Raw genomic sequence first — 15,875 nt, 5'->3', positions numbered from 1 at the left:
CTCTTCTGACCTGTAAGGTTTCCACTGAGAAGTCTGTGACCAGAAATATTGGAGCTCCACTGTACGTTATTTGTTTGTTTTCTTTCTTTTTTTATTAAAAAAAAAATTGATTTTCCCAGCCCCAGCCCCAGCAGTCCATGGGGCTGAGGAAGCCTGGCTGATTTGCTTGTTTTCTCTTTCTGCTTTTAGGATCCTTTATCCTTGATTTTTGGGAGTTTGATTATTAAATCCCTTGAGGTAGTCTTCTTTGGGTTAAATCTGCTTGGTGGTCTACAACCTTCTTTACTTGGATATTGATACCTTTCTCTAGGTTTGGGAAGTTGTCTGTTATTATCCCTTTGAATAAACGTTCTACCCCTATCTCTTTCTCTACCTCCTCTTTAAGGCCAATTAATCAGATTTGCCCTTTTGAGACTATTTGCTAGATCCTGTAAGCATGCTTCCTTTTTTCTTTTTCTTTTTGCTCCTTTGGCTGTTTATTTTCAAATAGCCTTCTTCAGGCTCACTAATTCTTTCTTCTGATTGATCAATTCTGTTACTGAAAGCCTCTGATGCATTCTTCAATATGCCTATTGCATTTTTAGCTCCAGAATTTCTGCTTGATTCTTTTTAATTATTTCAATCTCTTTGTTAAATTTATCTGATAGAATTCTGAATTCCTTCTCTGTATTATCTTGAGTTTCTTTGAATTTCCTCCAACACAGCTATTTTGAATTCTCTGTCTGAAAGGTCAGATAGCTGTTTCTCCAGGATGGGTCCCTGGTACCTTGTTTAGTTCATTTGATGAGGTCATGTTTTCTTGGATTGTCTTGATACTTATAGATGTTTGTCTGTGTCTGGGCATTGAAGAATTAGGTATTTATTGTAGTCTTCGCAGTCTGGGCTTGTTTATACCTATCCTTCTTGGGAAGGCTTTCCAGATATTTGTAAGGACTTATCTAAGCTGTATCTGCTTTAGAGGGCACCCCAAGCCCAGTAATGCTGTGGTTCTTGCAGATTCATAGAGATACTGCCTTGATGGTCTTAGACAAGATCTAGGATAATCTGGATTGCCAGCCAGAGACTCTTGTTCTCTTCCCTTAATTTCTCTCAGACATACAGAGTCTATCTCTGTTCTGAGCCACCACTGGGGGTGCAGTGACACAAACACCCCTGAGGCTACCACCACTATGACTGCACTGGGTCAGACCTGAAGCCAGCACAGTACTGGGTCTTGCCCAAGGTCTGCTGTAACCACTCCCTGACTACCGCCTATATTTATTCAAGGCCTTGGGGCTCTACAATCAGCAGGTGGCAAGGCCAGCCAGGCTTGTGTCCTTCCCTTCAGGGTGGCGAGTTTCCCCGGGCCCTGGGTGGGTCCAGAGGACCCAGAGACTAGATTCAAAAACCTTAGAAGTCTACCTGATGTTCTGTTGTACTGTGGCTGAGCTGGCACTCAAACCACTAGATGCAGACCTTCTCACTCTTCCTTTCCCTTTCCAAAGGCAGAGGAGCCTTACCCTGTGGCCACCGCCACCATGGGCCCATGGGATGTACTGCCAGACTACTGCCAAAGTTCCCTTAAGACCCAAGGGCTCTTCAGTCAGCTTGTGGTGAATGCTGTCTGGCCCAGGGCTCACCCTTCAGGAAATTAGGCTCCCCTCTGGCCCAGGGCAGGTCCAGAAATGCCATCCAAGGCTAAGTCCTGGAATCGGGGACTCTAGCCCACTTGATACTCTACTCACCTGTGGCCGAGCTGGTACCTAAGGTGTAAGAGAAAGTCCCATTTACTCTTCCCTCTGCTTTTCTCAAGTGGAAGGAGTCTTGCCCCATAACCACCACAGCTGGTAATGTGCTTAGTCTCACCTGAAGCCAGCAAGTCTCAGACTCTCGCCCAAAGCCCTCGTTGTAGTGCCTGGGTATTGTTGCTGGTTATTCAGGGCCCAAGGGCTCTTCAGTTAGTAGGTGATGAATGCTGCCAGAACTTAGTCCTTCCCTTCAAGGCAGCAGGTTCTCTTCTGGCCCAGGGTGTGTCTAGTATTATCATCCAGAAGTTAGGACCTGGAAAGTGGGCCCCAGAACTCTGACCAGTGCCTTATCTTGCTGTGGCTGAGCTGGTATCTTAAGATATAAGACAAAGACCTCTGCACTTTTCCCTCTCCTCTCCTCAGGTGGAGGGAATGGGAGTCTCTCACAGCTGTGAGCTGTGCAGCCTGGGGTGAAGGGGGAGGGGTGATGCCCTTAGCCACCCCAGCTGGTTTCAAAGTAGGTCATGTCCCCACCACCCTCTCACTCAGTCCACTGTCTCAGGGCCAATTCAGCACTAGGACTCACCTAGGTTTTGCAGTCCCTGTGTCCTACACTGCCTTTCAAGTTTCTTTGGGGCCCCAGAACACTTTAGCCCATGGTGGTGAGGCTTGCAGGAACTCAAGTTCCAATGCTGGGATCTATCATTTCCCTCTGGCTAGAGCTGGTTTAAATGCTCCCTCTGTTGGCAGGATCAGCTGTGTTTGGTCCAGTTATCCTTTCTGATTTTTAGTTCTTATGAATGTGCTTTTTTGTGTGTAGATAGTTGTTAAGTTGGTGTCCTTGCTGCGGTGGGATGATTGGTGGAGCCTTCTATTCCACCATCCACCCTGCCTAGACACCATCTTTAAAAAAAAAAAAAAAAAATCCTGCTCAAGGTACAAATATTGCCACAGTTGTGACAGTTGGATTTGATTAAATTATTCACTTGGTCAACATTTATTGAGCATCTGTAGTGAGCTGGGCCTACAAAACTAAATAATGATGCCAACTTGCCACTCCATTCTGTCAGGATGTAGTAGGGGAAAAGACATTTTCATCCATAATAACTACACAATGTAGTAGATTCATGACAGATATCAGCATCCATTTGTAAGGCTTTGGTTTCATTAGAGTCACTGAAGAAGCACCTCTGTTCTGGGCAATTAAGGACATGTCTTTCCCTTCAGTTTTTTTTTTTTTTTTTTAATGGAAGGAAAAGGTTCATGAGGCAGTAGATTCACTCATTTCTGGGGAGGGATGCAGGTCCCACCACTTACTAGCTAGCTCTAGAGCAAACTCTTCAGTCTCTGTTTCCTCATGTACAAGATGGAGGTTTTATTGGGAAGTTGGGAGGATTAAATTAAGGCAATGAATGTAAAGTATTGCTTTAACACAGTGCCTAGAACAGAATGAATGGTTTTTATTTATCTGAGACAGGGTCTTGCTCTGTCGCCCAGGCTAGAGTACTGTGGTGGTATCATAGCTCACTGCAACCTCAAACTCCTGGACTCAGCAATCCTCCTGGCTTAGCCTCCTGAGTAGCTGGGATTATAGCTGCACACCACTATGCCCAGCTAATTTTTTTTTTTTTTTTTTTTTTTGGAGAGACAGGGTCTTACTATGTTGCTCAGGCTGATCTTGAATTCCTGGCCAAAAGTGATCCTTTCAACTTGGCCTCCCAAAGTGTGGGGATTACAGGCATGAGCCACCAAGCCTGGCCTAATGTTAACATTATATTTGCTTTGTGCTCTCTTCTCAGAGAAGTAATTGCCACCTCCAGAACTCTATTACCTGTACTGGAGAAGTTCCTTCTGATATTCAATCAACAAGTTATTAATATAAATAAATTTTTTAAAAATGAAAACTAGAGGAAAAAATATTTATTTTTAGTTTTTGTTTTTTTTTTTGAGACAGAGTCTCGCTTTGTCACCCAGGCTGGAGTACAGTGGTGTGATCTTGGCTCACTGTAGCCTCAACCTCCCAGTTTCAAGCAGTTCACCTGCTTCAAGCCTCCAGAGTAGCTGGAACTACAGGCACATGCTACTACTCCCGGGTAATTTTTGTATTTTTAGTAGAGACGGGGTTTCACTACGTTGTCCAGACTGTTCTCAAACTCCTGACCTCAGGTGATCCGCCCTCCTCAGCCTCCCAAAGTGCTGGGATTACAGGTGTGAGCCACCGTGCCTGGCCAAAAATAGTTTAATTTCATACATATACTCAGCACTGTGGTAGATGCCAGTATACTATTATAGAATTAATGTAAACACAGTTTTCCTAACTCTAAGTGATGTTCATCAGCCACGAGTTATCTGAGGGGTATGAAGTTCATCCCAGGAAAATTAGTAAAACAGAAGAGCTATGAAAGTTGGCCTCAATTTGGGAGTCTGAGGCAGGTAGATCAGGAGTTTGAGACCAGCCTGGCCAACATGGAGAAACCCCGTCTCTACTAAAAATACAAAAATAAGCCGGGTGTGATGGCATGCACCTGTAATCCCAGCTATTCTGGCGGCTAAGGCAGGAGAATCACTTAACCTGGGAGGCGGAGGTTGCAGTGAGCTGAGATCGCACCACTGCACTCCAGCCTGGGTGACAGAGCAAGACTCCATCTCAAAAAAAAAAAAAAAAAACAAAACAAAACTGGCCTCGAAGAAAAAAAGTATTTTAGGTAAAAAGGGAGGATGGCTATAGGAAGCATCTAGAAATATTGGGAAGTAATAAATCAAATATACATATATCATATTAAACATCTGCCAGATTTGGAAAGCAGGTGACCTCAATGCTGACCTCTTAACCTACGGGCAATCAGGGTCTTCTACTTTGATATAGTCCCTCCCACAGTGCCCCAGAATAAAGTGGACTCAGTAACTATACCATGTGGAACCTGAAGAGTTGTCTAATATGAATCGGGTTTTATTTGTTTTTGGATTTAAAAACTTCTCCTTTGATGAATGCACATTTATAGGGCAAGTTAGAACAACCAATCACATAAACAACTGTCCTCACATAATAGGTAGTTGTTACTTAAAATGAAAATCCCAGAGTTAGTAATAAATTCAGGTACATATGATTCTGTATGTCAAACAAATAGAAGATAGCATGTCCTGAAAAAGTTTCTGGTGACTAAAACAATTGGGCCAAAAAGACAAGGACATTGATGTCCAAAGATGCATGTTAATGGTTCAAATGAAATGTGAAAAAGCAAAAGGTACTAAAATATTTAACATATTAAATTAATGTAAATTTAATTACCAAAATAAATAATAAAAGTGAAAGAATCCTTCCTTCTACATCAGTATATCTGAGTCAGAGCCACTAAAGCTATCTATTTCTACTTCACCAAACATCTCATTCCCACTCAGTACTTGAGGAGTTTGATATACTTGGCTTCATCTCCCTATTTCTAACCTTAGGAATCTGATTCTTCCTCCTCTTCTTCCTCCTCCTCCTCTTCTTTTTCTTCCTCCTTCTCTTCTTTTTCTTCTGTGGCCACTTCTGCTGCTTCTGGCTTTATTTCTGGGGCCGGTGGTGGAGCCACTGCTGGAGGAGCTTCTGCCGGGGCAGCCTCTGGTGATTTTTTAAGCAAGCAGATCAAATAATTGTACTTAATAATAATATTATAAAAAGTATAATGAATGATAATATCATCATGTCTACAGCATGTTCTTCACGTCTGGAATGAGTCATATTGTGATTTTCACCTTCTCCTGAAGGTGTCCCACCTAGCTTACCAGGAGGGCCACTGTCCACACTACCTCCACTTCCTGCAGTAACACAGTCAGGGGGGGCATGCCCTTCATTACAGTGGCAGTGCCCTAAATCATTACAAACTCCCTTCCCATTACACGTTTTTTCTGGGTTGCAGGCAGAAATCACTGGGGTTTTATCTGTGCAGGCGGAATTCAGGCAGACTTTGTTTGGTGCACAGTAAGTGCCATTGTGCACATCTCCTTCATCAGGAATGTCAGTACTCATATAGGCATCCATGCTCCAACATGAGCCATCTCCCTGAGGGACCTGAATCATTGTATGTTGGAGATTGATTTTTGGTAAGCCTGTAATACCTGAACATATAAGTTTCCCACAAAATATATTACCATCTGAACACCGAACATATTGTGACCCAGGACTGGTAGAAATGCCACAGTTTCCAAATTGGTCCCCTTTGCTGTTCATTGAATTGTAACACTCTTGTGAGGCTGATTTTGCACCATATCCATATAATTGTAAGCACTGATTATTAGGGTCCATACAATGAACTTTAAGGCACTCGTAAATTGTATGACATTTTGAGCCATCTTGCTTATGCCTGTTGTTGGGGCATAATGCAGATGTACCATTGCAAAATTCTGGGAGATCACAGGAACGACTAGAAGGACAGCAAGGATATCCCTTACGGTGAAATTTACACTTATGACAACATGGACCATCACTGCACTCTGCTTTCGCCTTCAGTATACAGTTTTCATCACAGCATGCATGATGCTGACATAGAGAACCACAGTCACACTGCTCCGTGTCCTCCACCACACCATTTCCACAGGCAGAATCCCTACGCTTGCGGCCCCTGGGCCGTGGCTTGTTAAATAGGCAGGCCCCTTTGTGTTCTCGAAGGAACTGGTAGAAGTAGTCAGAGCTGCAGCTGCTGAAGCCACTTTCTTTTGTGATATTTTCATGCATGAGGCAAAAGTGCTTATCTTTACAAAAGCAGGCCGAGTGGTCGTGCTGAATACCCAGGTTGTGCCCGAGCTCATGGGCCATCAGGGCTGCAAACAACAGCACATCTTCATGATGGAAGGATTCAACAGCTGCCGCAAAACCGCTTGAGCAGGCACCACTGAGAAAGGCCTGGCCCATATTCTGTCCAGGGTGATGCCCAACGATCATGTGGGCAACATCGTGTTTTGCACGATGGAAGAGCATCTCTTGTCTCCAGTGATTGAAATTCCTGAGTGTGATTTGCAAGTCCACTGTGACATCTATTAGGTCCCCCTCGGTCCAAATCTCCATTCCAGCCAGCACCACCTCTGTGTTTATTCCCCTAGTGAAGCTGTTGGCCAGAGCAATGACATCCACTACTGTCTGGACCGTCTCATTGACGTTACTGCCCCACATCTGGAACCGCTGGTTGTTGACCACGACAAACATCTCCACGTACTTTTTGTGTGACCACAAGTAGGACAGTGCCTGTAGATCATGAGGCTTCCTGCTCCCTTGTTGCCAGCTAGTAGACACCACAGGAGACTCACGCTTGATGTGCCATGGTGTATAACACATGTTCAAACCGTCTTGAAGAGTCCATGGGCTCAATGCTGTAAGATTTTTCCTCCTTAATCAGGAGGATGTGCCCCTGAGACCTGCACAGATGTTGACAGAAACAAAAGAACCTGACACTCCTTCTATGTAGCCTTCATAGTGGCAGTCATGTGAGATGAAAGGCGATTCTTGCCCCAGGAGGCCATTGTGGTAACTGTAGACTGGAAAGTTATTCACAAAATGGTTTCTCTTCACCTTCAGATGAACCAGGTGCTTCTGGCCTTGCATAAGTAACAAGTAGGACAGTCCTTCCACTGGGCTATCTCCTCCCTGGACTGTCAGCCTCTTTGGAATAATTATTTCATAGAAAGAGTAATAGATTGATCCCAGGTGACAGTACATGCTTGGCACAAAAATCACCAAAAGCATCAAAATCTCTAACCTGATACATGAAGGTCCTGGTACTAGCCCCAGCCTTAAGTTCCACTTCTGTGGAGCCCAAGTTTGAAACTTTATCTTAGCCTCTTCCAAGGCCACTTGGTTTTTCCATAAAGCAGGATGTTGGCAGAGTCTTTTAATAATGCCACCAGTGACATGGCCCAAATAAATCAGTTAATGATTCTGGGCCTATGTCCATCAGCAGAGCTCTCCCTCGCACACAAACCCTCGGAGGCTCAGGTGTTTAGTACTCAGATCTACGCTGGCTCCCTTATTGGCAGTTCTTGCCCAACTCTGATTCTTACAGAACTTCAAGCCGTGTTTCTCTTCCTGCTTCTCTCCTGGCCTTCGGCAGTTTCTTTAGTATGTCTTCCTTCCAACAGCAACAACTTTAATCTTCCTTAGTTATATTCCTTTTACTTTCATGGGAAGATATTCCAAGTAGAAGGCCTGTAGTGATCCAGCCAGTACTGTAACTCCTCAGGCAAATTATTCTTTATCCTCAGCTCAGGCCACACAACTTGATATCCATTAATCTGCTCATTCTTTGAAACACAACATTCTGTCAGGGGGTGGGGGGAAGGGGGCAGGGCTTCTCTGGGGATCTCTGAAAAGGACAAAGTTCTTTGTGGCCCACTGCCTCTTTCCCTCATTTCTGCAGTTTTCAGGGTACCATTTATCAGTTCAGCTCTCCTTTGTCAGTGTCTGGTTTTTTTCTTTAATTCAAGAAAATCTGTATGTGGATGTCCAAGTTTTCCCTCATTATCGTTGGTTCATAACAAATGAGTTTAGATATTTTATATCTGCATATAATCTTCTCTACCAAGTTTTCCTAATGCACGGATATATTGTGTTAAGTAAAATGGGCTCAAGTTTCACCATGGGAGTATATAAAGGATCAGGATCAAAGTTCAGTTCCTCCAACTGCCCTAACATAAAAACAAAGTGTGGGGCCCGGGCACGGTGGCTCACCCCTGTAATCCCAGCACTTTGGGAGGCCGAGGCAGGCGGATCACCTGAGGTCGGGAGTTCGAGACCAGCCTGGCCAGCATGGTGAAACCCTGTCCCTACTAAAAATGCAAAAATTAGCGGGGCGTGGTGGCAGGCGCCTGTAATCTCAGCTACTCAGGAAGGTGAGGCAGGAGAATCGCTTGAACCCAGGAGGCGTAGGTTGCAGTAAGCCGAGATCACACCATTGCACTCCAACCTGGGCAACAGAGTGAGAATCCGTCTCAAAAAAAAAACTGTGGGGTCAAAATAAAAGCTGACTAACCAGGTGTCTAGTTAACATTTCATCAAGAAAAGAAAACTGGGCTATATAAGAACTTTTAAAAGATTTCTTCGGTTTGGAACTAAAATTGACCTGAAATGTCTGTGGAAGTCCTTGAATTTGGTTTTGATGTCAATTTCCTTGGTGTATTTAGCAGTACAAATTTAAAAGGAAAAGAAGCCCTATGCACCCATTCCTTACGCAGTTATTCTGTGCATTCTAGATGAAGAAAAATAAAACTCTACATTTTTTATCTTGTATAATTTTACAGCAAGTCAAATATTTACAACATGAGACCTTTCAAATATGAGATACGACTACAGAAAGGAATGTAATGGTAGCATAAGATCTTAGATAACAGCATGAGAGCAGATCAATTTATTCACTATTCCTATTAAATATTTAATTCCTAATACAGATAATACAATGTATCATTAGCATCTAGCAAGAAAATTTATACTGTCACAAACCCACTAAAAAAATTTACAGCAAGAAAAGTGAAATGATTTCCAGCTGTATTTCTTGTGATTTATGTAAGCGCAAAGCTTCTTAAAATTGTATTTTGAAAATTATCACAGATTTTAGGGTGTTTCCCTGTTTCTTAACCAAAATAGGCAGCGCAAATTAGGTTAAGCCATTTGGTGGGATAAAAGAAGATTCAATAATGGAAGAACACTCTACTCTTTAAATAAATAATTAAAATGAAATATCCAATTTTCTAATTCTCAAATTGAAACTTATTTTCTTCAATAAATACATGCACATACACATACCCACACACAAGACCTTATTTAAATCTTTTGGCTTCTTTGACCAACAATTACCATTTCTTCAACTCATTTTTTCTCAAATGAATACAAGCAACATAAACTCTTTTTAAAGAGTAATTCCTGCCAGGCACAGTGGTTTGCTCCTGTAGTCCCAGCTACTTAGAAGGCTGAGGCAGGAGGATTGCTTGAGCCCAGGAGCTTGAGTCTAACTTGGGCAACATAGCAGGATCACGTCTCTTTTTTATTTCTGAGACGGAGTTTTGCTCTGTCACCCAGGCTGGAGTGCAATGGTGCGATCTCCACTCACTGCAACCTCTGCCTCCCAGGTTCAAGCAATTCTCCTGCCTCAGCCTCCCGAGCAGCTGGGATTACAGGCATGTGCCACCATGCCTGGCTAATTTTTGTATTTTTAGTAGAGACGGCATTTCACCATGTTGGCCAAGCTGGTCTTGAACTCTTGACCTAAGGTGATCTGCCCGCCTCAGCTTCCCAAAGTGCTGGGATTACTAAAGGCATGAGCCACCACGCTGAGCCTCATCTATGTTTCAAACAGTAAATTCAGACTGGGATTCTCCTATATTCATACATATTAGTCAGAGAGAGACAAGTTTTTTTACTACATCAAGCTGACTTTTATAACTGTGGTAAAGTCTAAAAGTATCTGATTGACCAGTAATGGCTTTAGTAAGCAGAAGGTTAATAAATCATGTAGGCAAACAGGAGAGCATAACCTGCTGCTTTATAAGAATTATATTTACAGTGTTATGTTTCCACAGGTATAGGTGTTTGTTAGGCCAAAAAATATGAGAAAGATATCGTTTCACTTCCAGTTATGTGCAAATTTCGAGTAGCAAACCTGACAGTTATGTTAAAGCAGAATTTACTGCTGGACTAGGAATACACAAACAAAACTCCACTTCGAAGACCAAGCCATGCTGAGTCCCTTGGGAGCTACTGTTTTTTTTCAAGGTATGCTGTTGCATTACAACAGCTGGGGCATCCTCCAGAGTGTTCACAAACTTCCAGCTTGGTGCTCATTTGGATGTGTCTGGACACAGCACTTACATTGAGGGCATGAATTCAGCTTGAAGTGACTGAAACACGGGCAACTGATGCTCAGAGTCAAAGGGAGTATCACTTTGGATACCTTTTCCATCGCACCTAAAATTCAGCATACACTGAAGGAAAAAATAATCATCCTGAGCCTTTTTAGAAGACACCCAAGTCACAAATTTAAGAAGTTATGGATATAATGGATATGCTAGAATATTCCTCTAAAGAAGAAGAGTAACAAAGATAATTACTGTTTTTTTCTCCCCATGGAATACTGAACCTCTGCCCTAAGATAGGAAAACTACAGTTGTTCTAATATTACACAAACAAGTGCAGTATTCCTAACTGTAAGAAGTGATCTGTAAGATTTGCATTTCACTGAAAAACACAACAACAGGCACTTAATTCAACTCTCAGTCAAGTTTTCTGGTCAGTAAATTTAAAAACATTGGTTTTTCTTCTGTTGCCGGTGAGATTTTGCCATCATGAAAAGTATTCAGGTCGCGCACGGTGGCTCACGCCTGTAATCCCAGCACTTTGGGAGGCCGAGGTGGGCGGATCACGAGGTCAGGAGTTTGAGACCAGCCTGGCCAATATGATGAAACCCCGTCTCTACTAAAAACACAAAAATTAGCTGGGCGTGGTGGTGTGTGCCTGTAGTCCCAGCTACTTGGAAGTCTGAGGCACGAGAATCGCTTGAACCTGGGAGGCAGAGGTTGCAGTGAGCCAAGAGCAAGCCACTGCACTCCAGCCTGGGGGACAGAGCGAGACTCTGTCTTGGTGGCAGCAGGGTGGGGGGTGGGGGGGAGACATATTCTCCTTACAGGAAATCCATTTATAACAGTTATCAGTCACCTAAGATTAGTGAACTTTATCTCAAAAAATATCTTTCAATTAAATTCTCCAAGATAAAAAGGAACCAATGTAGGCTGGGTGCAGTGGCTCACACCTGTAATCCCAGCACTTTTGGAGGCTGAGGTGGGCGGATCACGAGGTCAGGAGATCAAGACCATCCTGGCTAACACGGTGAAACCCTGTCTCTACTAAAAATACAAAAAGAAATTAGCCGGGCGCGGTGGCGGGCACCTGTATAGTCCCAGCTACTCAGGAGGCTGAGGTAGGAGAATGGTGTGAACCTGGGAGGCAGAGCTTGCAGTGAGCCAAGATCGCGCCACTGCACTCCAGCCTGGGCGACAGAGCAAGAATCCATCTCAAAAAAAAAAAAAAAAAAAAAAGGAAGCAATGTAATAAGGTAATTCTTAAGACACTTGTTTTTTATCATCTATTCCCACAGGCAGTCACACACATACAGGGCATACTAACCAAATGTCACCCTGAAGATTCAGGGTGGAGGAATTACTCAGCACAGTGGAGGAGTTAGAAAATAAGTTGCTGGTGAGATCAATTTTGATCGAAGAGAATGAGATGAGAAAAAATTGAATAACAGATGACTATCCTCTCCCTCTGCTCTGCGAGCTGGAGTCTACCTGCCAGCTTTTCTATGTACCAACGTAAGTACCCACCAAAAACTGCTTCACACACACACACACACACACACACATATACACGAAAATTGGTTTGTTATGGAAACCCATACTCACAACAGAAAACTAAAAAAGGACCTAGCCTTATTTTTCCTTCAAACAGCTGCTCTCGGGGCCAAAACCATGCTTCCTGAAAATGAAGGGTAATAAACAAGATAAATGCAGCCCAGAGGATGCCAACACAAAACCCAGACAGACATATTACAGAGAAACAGGGCAGCCTTATAAAAAAAAAAACCAAAACTGGATCATCTTACATGATAATCCAATAGTCCCACTTCAATTAATTATATGTAAATTTCTCGGACAAGTTATTCCAAAAACAGGACCAGAGGAACAGGGAACAGAAATAAGGAGTAATGGAGCTGGTGAAGGCTGCAGGGAAGGGGAAAGGACAAAGCAGGACCTCCTGGAAGGGGAAAGGGAAGCTCCGGTTAAACATATAAAGAATAGGCCAGGCTTGGTGGCTCATGCCTGTAATCCCAGTACTTTGAGAGGCTGAGGTGGATGGTCAGGAGTTCGAGACCAGCCTGGCCAACATGGTGAAACCCTGTCTCTACTAAAAATACAAAAATTAGCCGGGCATGGTGGCGGGTGCCTGTAATCCCAACTACTTGGGAGGCTGAGGCAGGAGAATCACTTGAACCTGGGAGACAGAGGTTGCAGTGAGCCGAGATCGTGCCACTGCACTCCACCCTGGGTGATAAGAGCAAGACTCCATCTCAAAACAAACAAACAAACAAACATATAAAGAAAGAATAAACCCAAGGCCGGGCACAGTGGCTCACGCCTGTAATCCCAGCACTTTGGGAGGCCAAGGCAGACGTATCACCTGAGGTCAGGAGTTCAAGACCAGCCTGGCCAACGTGGTGAAACCCTGTCTCTACTAAAAATACAAAAATTAGCCAGGCGTGGTGGCGGGCACCTGTAATCCCAGCTACTTGGGAGGCTGATGTGGGAGGATCACTGGAACCTGGGAGGCGGAGGTTGCAGTGAGCGGAGATAGTGCCACTGTACTCCAGCCTCCACTACAACAGCAAGACTCTGTCTCAAAAAAAAAAAAAAAAAAAGAATAAACCCAAAAGAAAACCCTGTTAGATTTAAGAAACACACCAGTACCCTTTTAACAGATATGACAAAAAGGAAATGTTCCTGCTTTTCTCTTGGGAATTAGGGGGCAGGAGAAATGAGGGCTCACCTCCCTCTTCTTCCATCATGGAAGTTGGCTCCCCAAGCTCAAGTGTGCCTCCTGTGAGTTCCAGCAAGCAGTCTGCAATGACAGCCACAAAAATGTCTTGGCAGTAGAGCTAATCTAGCAATGGTGTGGAAAATAAACACACAGGGCAATTGAAACCAGAATCCAGAGTCCTTGATTCAACTGTTTACTAATCAGAAAGGTCGGTATAGTCGGTCCTTTTTCTACTGCTGGCAAGTGATTTTTGTATATTTTATTACAAATAAAACAATATTGCTTGACAGCATCATCTGTCATCTTACAAATATACAACTACACAGTCCTAAAGTAATAGTATGTCTCTAGAACTGAGCTTTTCTTAAAAACAAACAATAACTATACTATTATTAAGTCCTGCACCCTAAATCTATACAGCAGCTTTAATCAATGTGGAAATGAAATTATGATTTATTAATTTACATAAAATTACTTTATACATTAAAGAATAATTTTTCAAATTGTTAAAAAAACAAAGTCTGAAGCTGTCATTATTGGGATTCGTGGGACGTGGTTTGCTCTTCTATCACCTGCTTCACAATTTCTGCCAGTTTTAGTCGATCTACTTTATCTGTGAATCCACGACCTGAAAGCAAAAAAAGAACAAGGTCAGTCCTCAAATTCTTTGAGAGGTGGCAGACTCTTGACAGAGACCCAATAAGGTCCACCTTACCAGTATCAAATTCACCCTCACCAGTGGGGGAACCACCCCCACCACTGATCAAAAGCAGTTCAGATCCCCCATTTTTCAGGTAGCAATTGTACAGTTCCACTAACCTGGCAGTAAAAATCCAAAGCTCACAACACACAAGCAAACCACAAAGAGAGACAAGATCTTTGTAATACATACAGCTGACAAAAGACTCATATCCAGAATATATAAAGAATTCCTATACATCTATAAGAAAAACACAACTCAGTGAAAAAAAATGGGCAAAAGACTTGAATAGGTACTTCACAAAAGAGGAAATCTAACTGGCCCATAAACATTTAAAATGTATATCAGTACGTTTTAAGGGTACATTTAAGGGTAATGCAAACTAAAACCACATTGCAATACCACCTACAAACTAACCAGGATAACGAAGATTTTTTAAAAAGACAATAGCAAGAGTTGGTGTGGACGTGAAGTAACCAGAACCCCCAAACACTGCTAGTGGGAGTTCATAAATTCACTTTGAAAAACTGGTAGCAGTACCCACTAAAGCCAGACAGATGAAGACCTCCATGAACCAGCAATTCTAATCCTATACACGTAAGATAAATGAGCTCATCAAAAGACATTCGCAAGAGTATTCACCACAGCCCTTTTCTTAATTCCCCAAATCTGGAAATAATCCTAAAGTCCATTCAACAGTAGAATGGAGAAATATAGCACACATTCATACAGTGAAAATGAATGATCTGCTGCTACACACAACATGGATGGATGTCACAAATATAATGACTAAAATTTAATTGACTAAAAGAAGCCAGACATAAAAGAACACAGACTTATCTGACTCCATTCACAAAGAATACAAAACCAGGCAAACTTAGGCTACAGTGCTAGAAATCAGGACTGTGATTACCTTTGAATGGAGGGAGGGAGTGACTGGAAGAGGATGCATGTTCTACTACATGATCTAGGTGCTGGTTACAGAGGAGTGTTCACTTTGTGAAAATTCACTTAAGTCTGTTATTTCATATGTGATCACTTTTCTAAAATGACATATTTCAAGTTTTTTTTTCCCTTTTTTTTTTTTAAAGACGGAGTCTCTCTCTGTTGCCCAGGCTGGAGTGCAGTGGTGTGATCTCAGCTCACTGCAACCTCCGCCTCCCAGGTTCAAGCGATTCTCCTGCCTCAGCCTCCTGAGTAGCTGGAACTACAGGCGCATGCCACCATGCCCGGCTAATTTTTTTTTTTTTTTTTTTTGTATTTTTAGTAGAGGTGGGGTTTCACCGTGTTAGCCAGGATGGTCTTGATCTCCTGACCTCATGATCCGCCCGCCTTGGCCTCCCAAAGTGTTGGGATTACATGCGTGACCCATCGTGCCTGGCCCTCAAATTTTTCTTTAAAAAAATCCCAGGGAAGTGAATCTCCTCCAAGAATGGGAATGGCCAGGCTAGCACTTTAGATTTCTTATGGCATGTCTAAGAAACAAGAAGGCAGGCCAGGTGCAGTGGCTCACACCTGTAATCCCAGCACTTTGGGAGGCCAAGGTGGGTGGATCACTTGAGGTCAGGAGTTCGAGACGAGCCTGGCCAACATGGTGAAACCCCGTCTCCACTAAAAAAAAAAAAATACAAAAATTAGCTGGGCATGGTGGTACGTGCCTGTAGTCCCAGTTCCTTGGGAGGCTGGGGTGGGAGAATCGCATGAGCCCAGGACGGGGAGGTTGCAGTAAGTCAAGATCGCACCACTCCATTCCAGCCTGGGCAACAGAGGGAGACTCCATCTCAAAAAACAAAACAAAACAAAAAACAACAACAACAAAAAAACGCGGAAACAAGTGAGGCATTGAAATCTTCAGTTTGCTCCCTTCCCTGAGCATCCTGGAGCATAAGTC

General features: G+C 43.1%; 1 protein-coding gene and 1 pseudogene across 11 annotated transcripts in view; both read right to left on the bottom strand.

Annotated features, from left to right (window-relative positions):
* Positions 1 to 4,656: 4,656 nt before the first annotated feature.
* Positions 4,657 to 15,875, bottom strand: part of MAPKAPK5 (MAPK activated protein kinase 5) — a 59,995-nt gene continuing 48,776 nt past the window's right edge. For 9 of the 11 annotated variants that reach the window (NM_139078.3, NM_003668.4, NM_001371481.1 and 6 more), the window contains one exon: positions 4,657 to 13,912. In NM_139078.3, coding sequence (NP_620777.1) covers positions 13,818 to 13,912 — 95 coding nt within the window. In that variant the 3' untranslated portion in view covers positions 4,657 to 13,817. The remainder of the gene's footprint in view (positions 13,913 to 15,875) is intronic. The other 2 variants (NM_001371479.1, NM_001371480.1) reach the window with 2 other exon arrangements.
* ADAM1A (ADAM metallopeptidase domain 1A (pseudogene)) lies at positions 4,977 to 7,816 on the bottom strand (annotated as a pseudogene).

The sequence above is a fragment of the Homo sapiens genome, chromosome 12 (assembly GCF_000001405.40).
Source record: "Homo sapiens chromosome 12, GRCh38.p14 Primary Assembly".
NCBI lineage: Eukaryota > Metazoa > Chordata > Mammalia > Primates > Hominidae > Homo > Homo sapiens.
The sequence above is the reverse complement of the archived record's forward strand: the minus strand, read 5'-3'. Positions and strand labels throughout refer to the sequence as shown.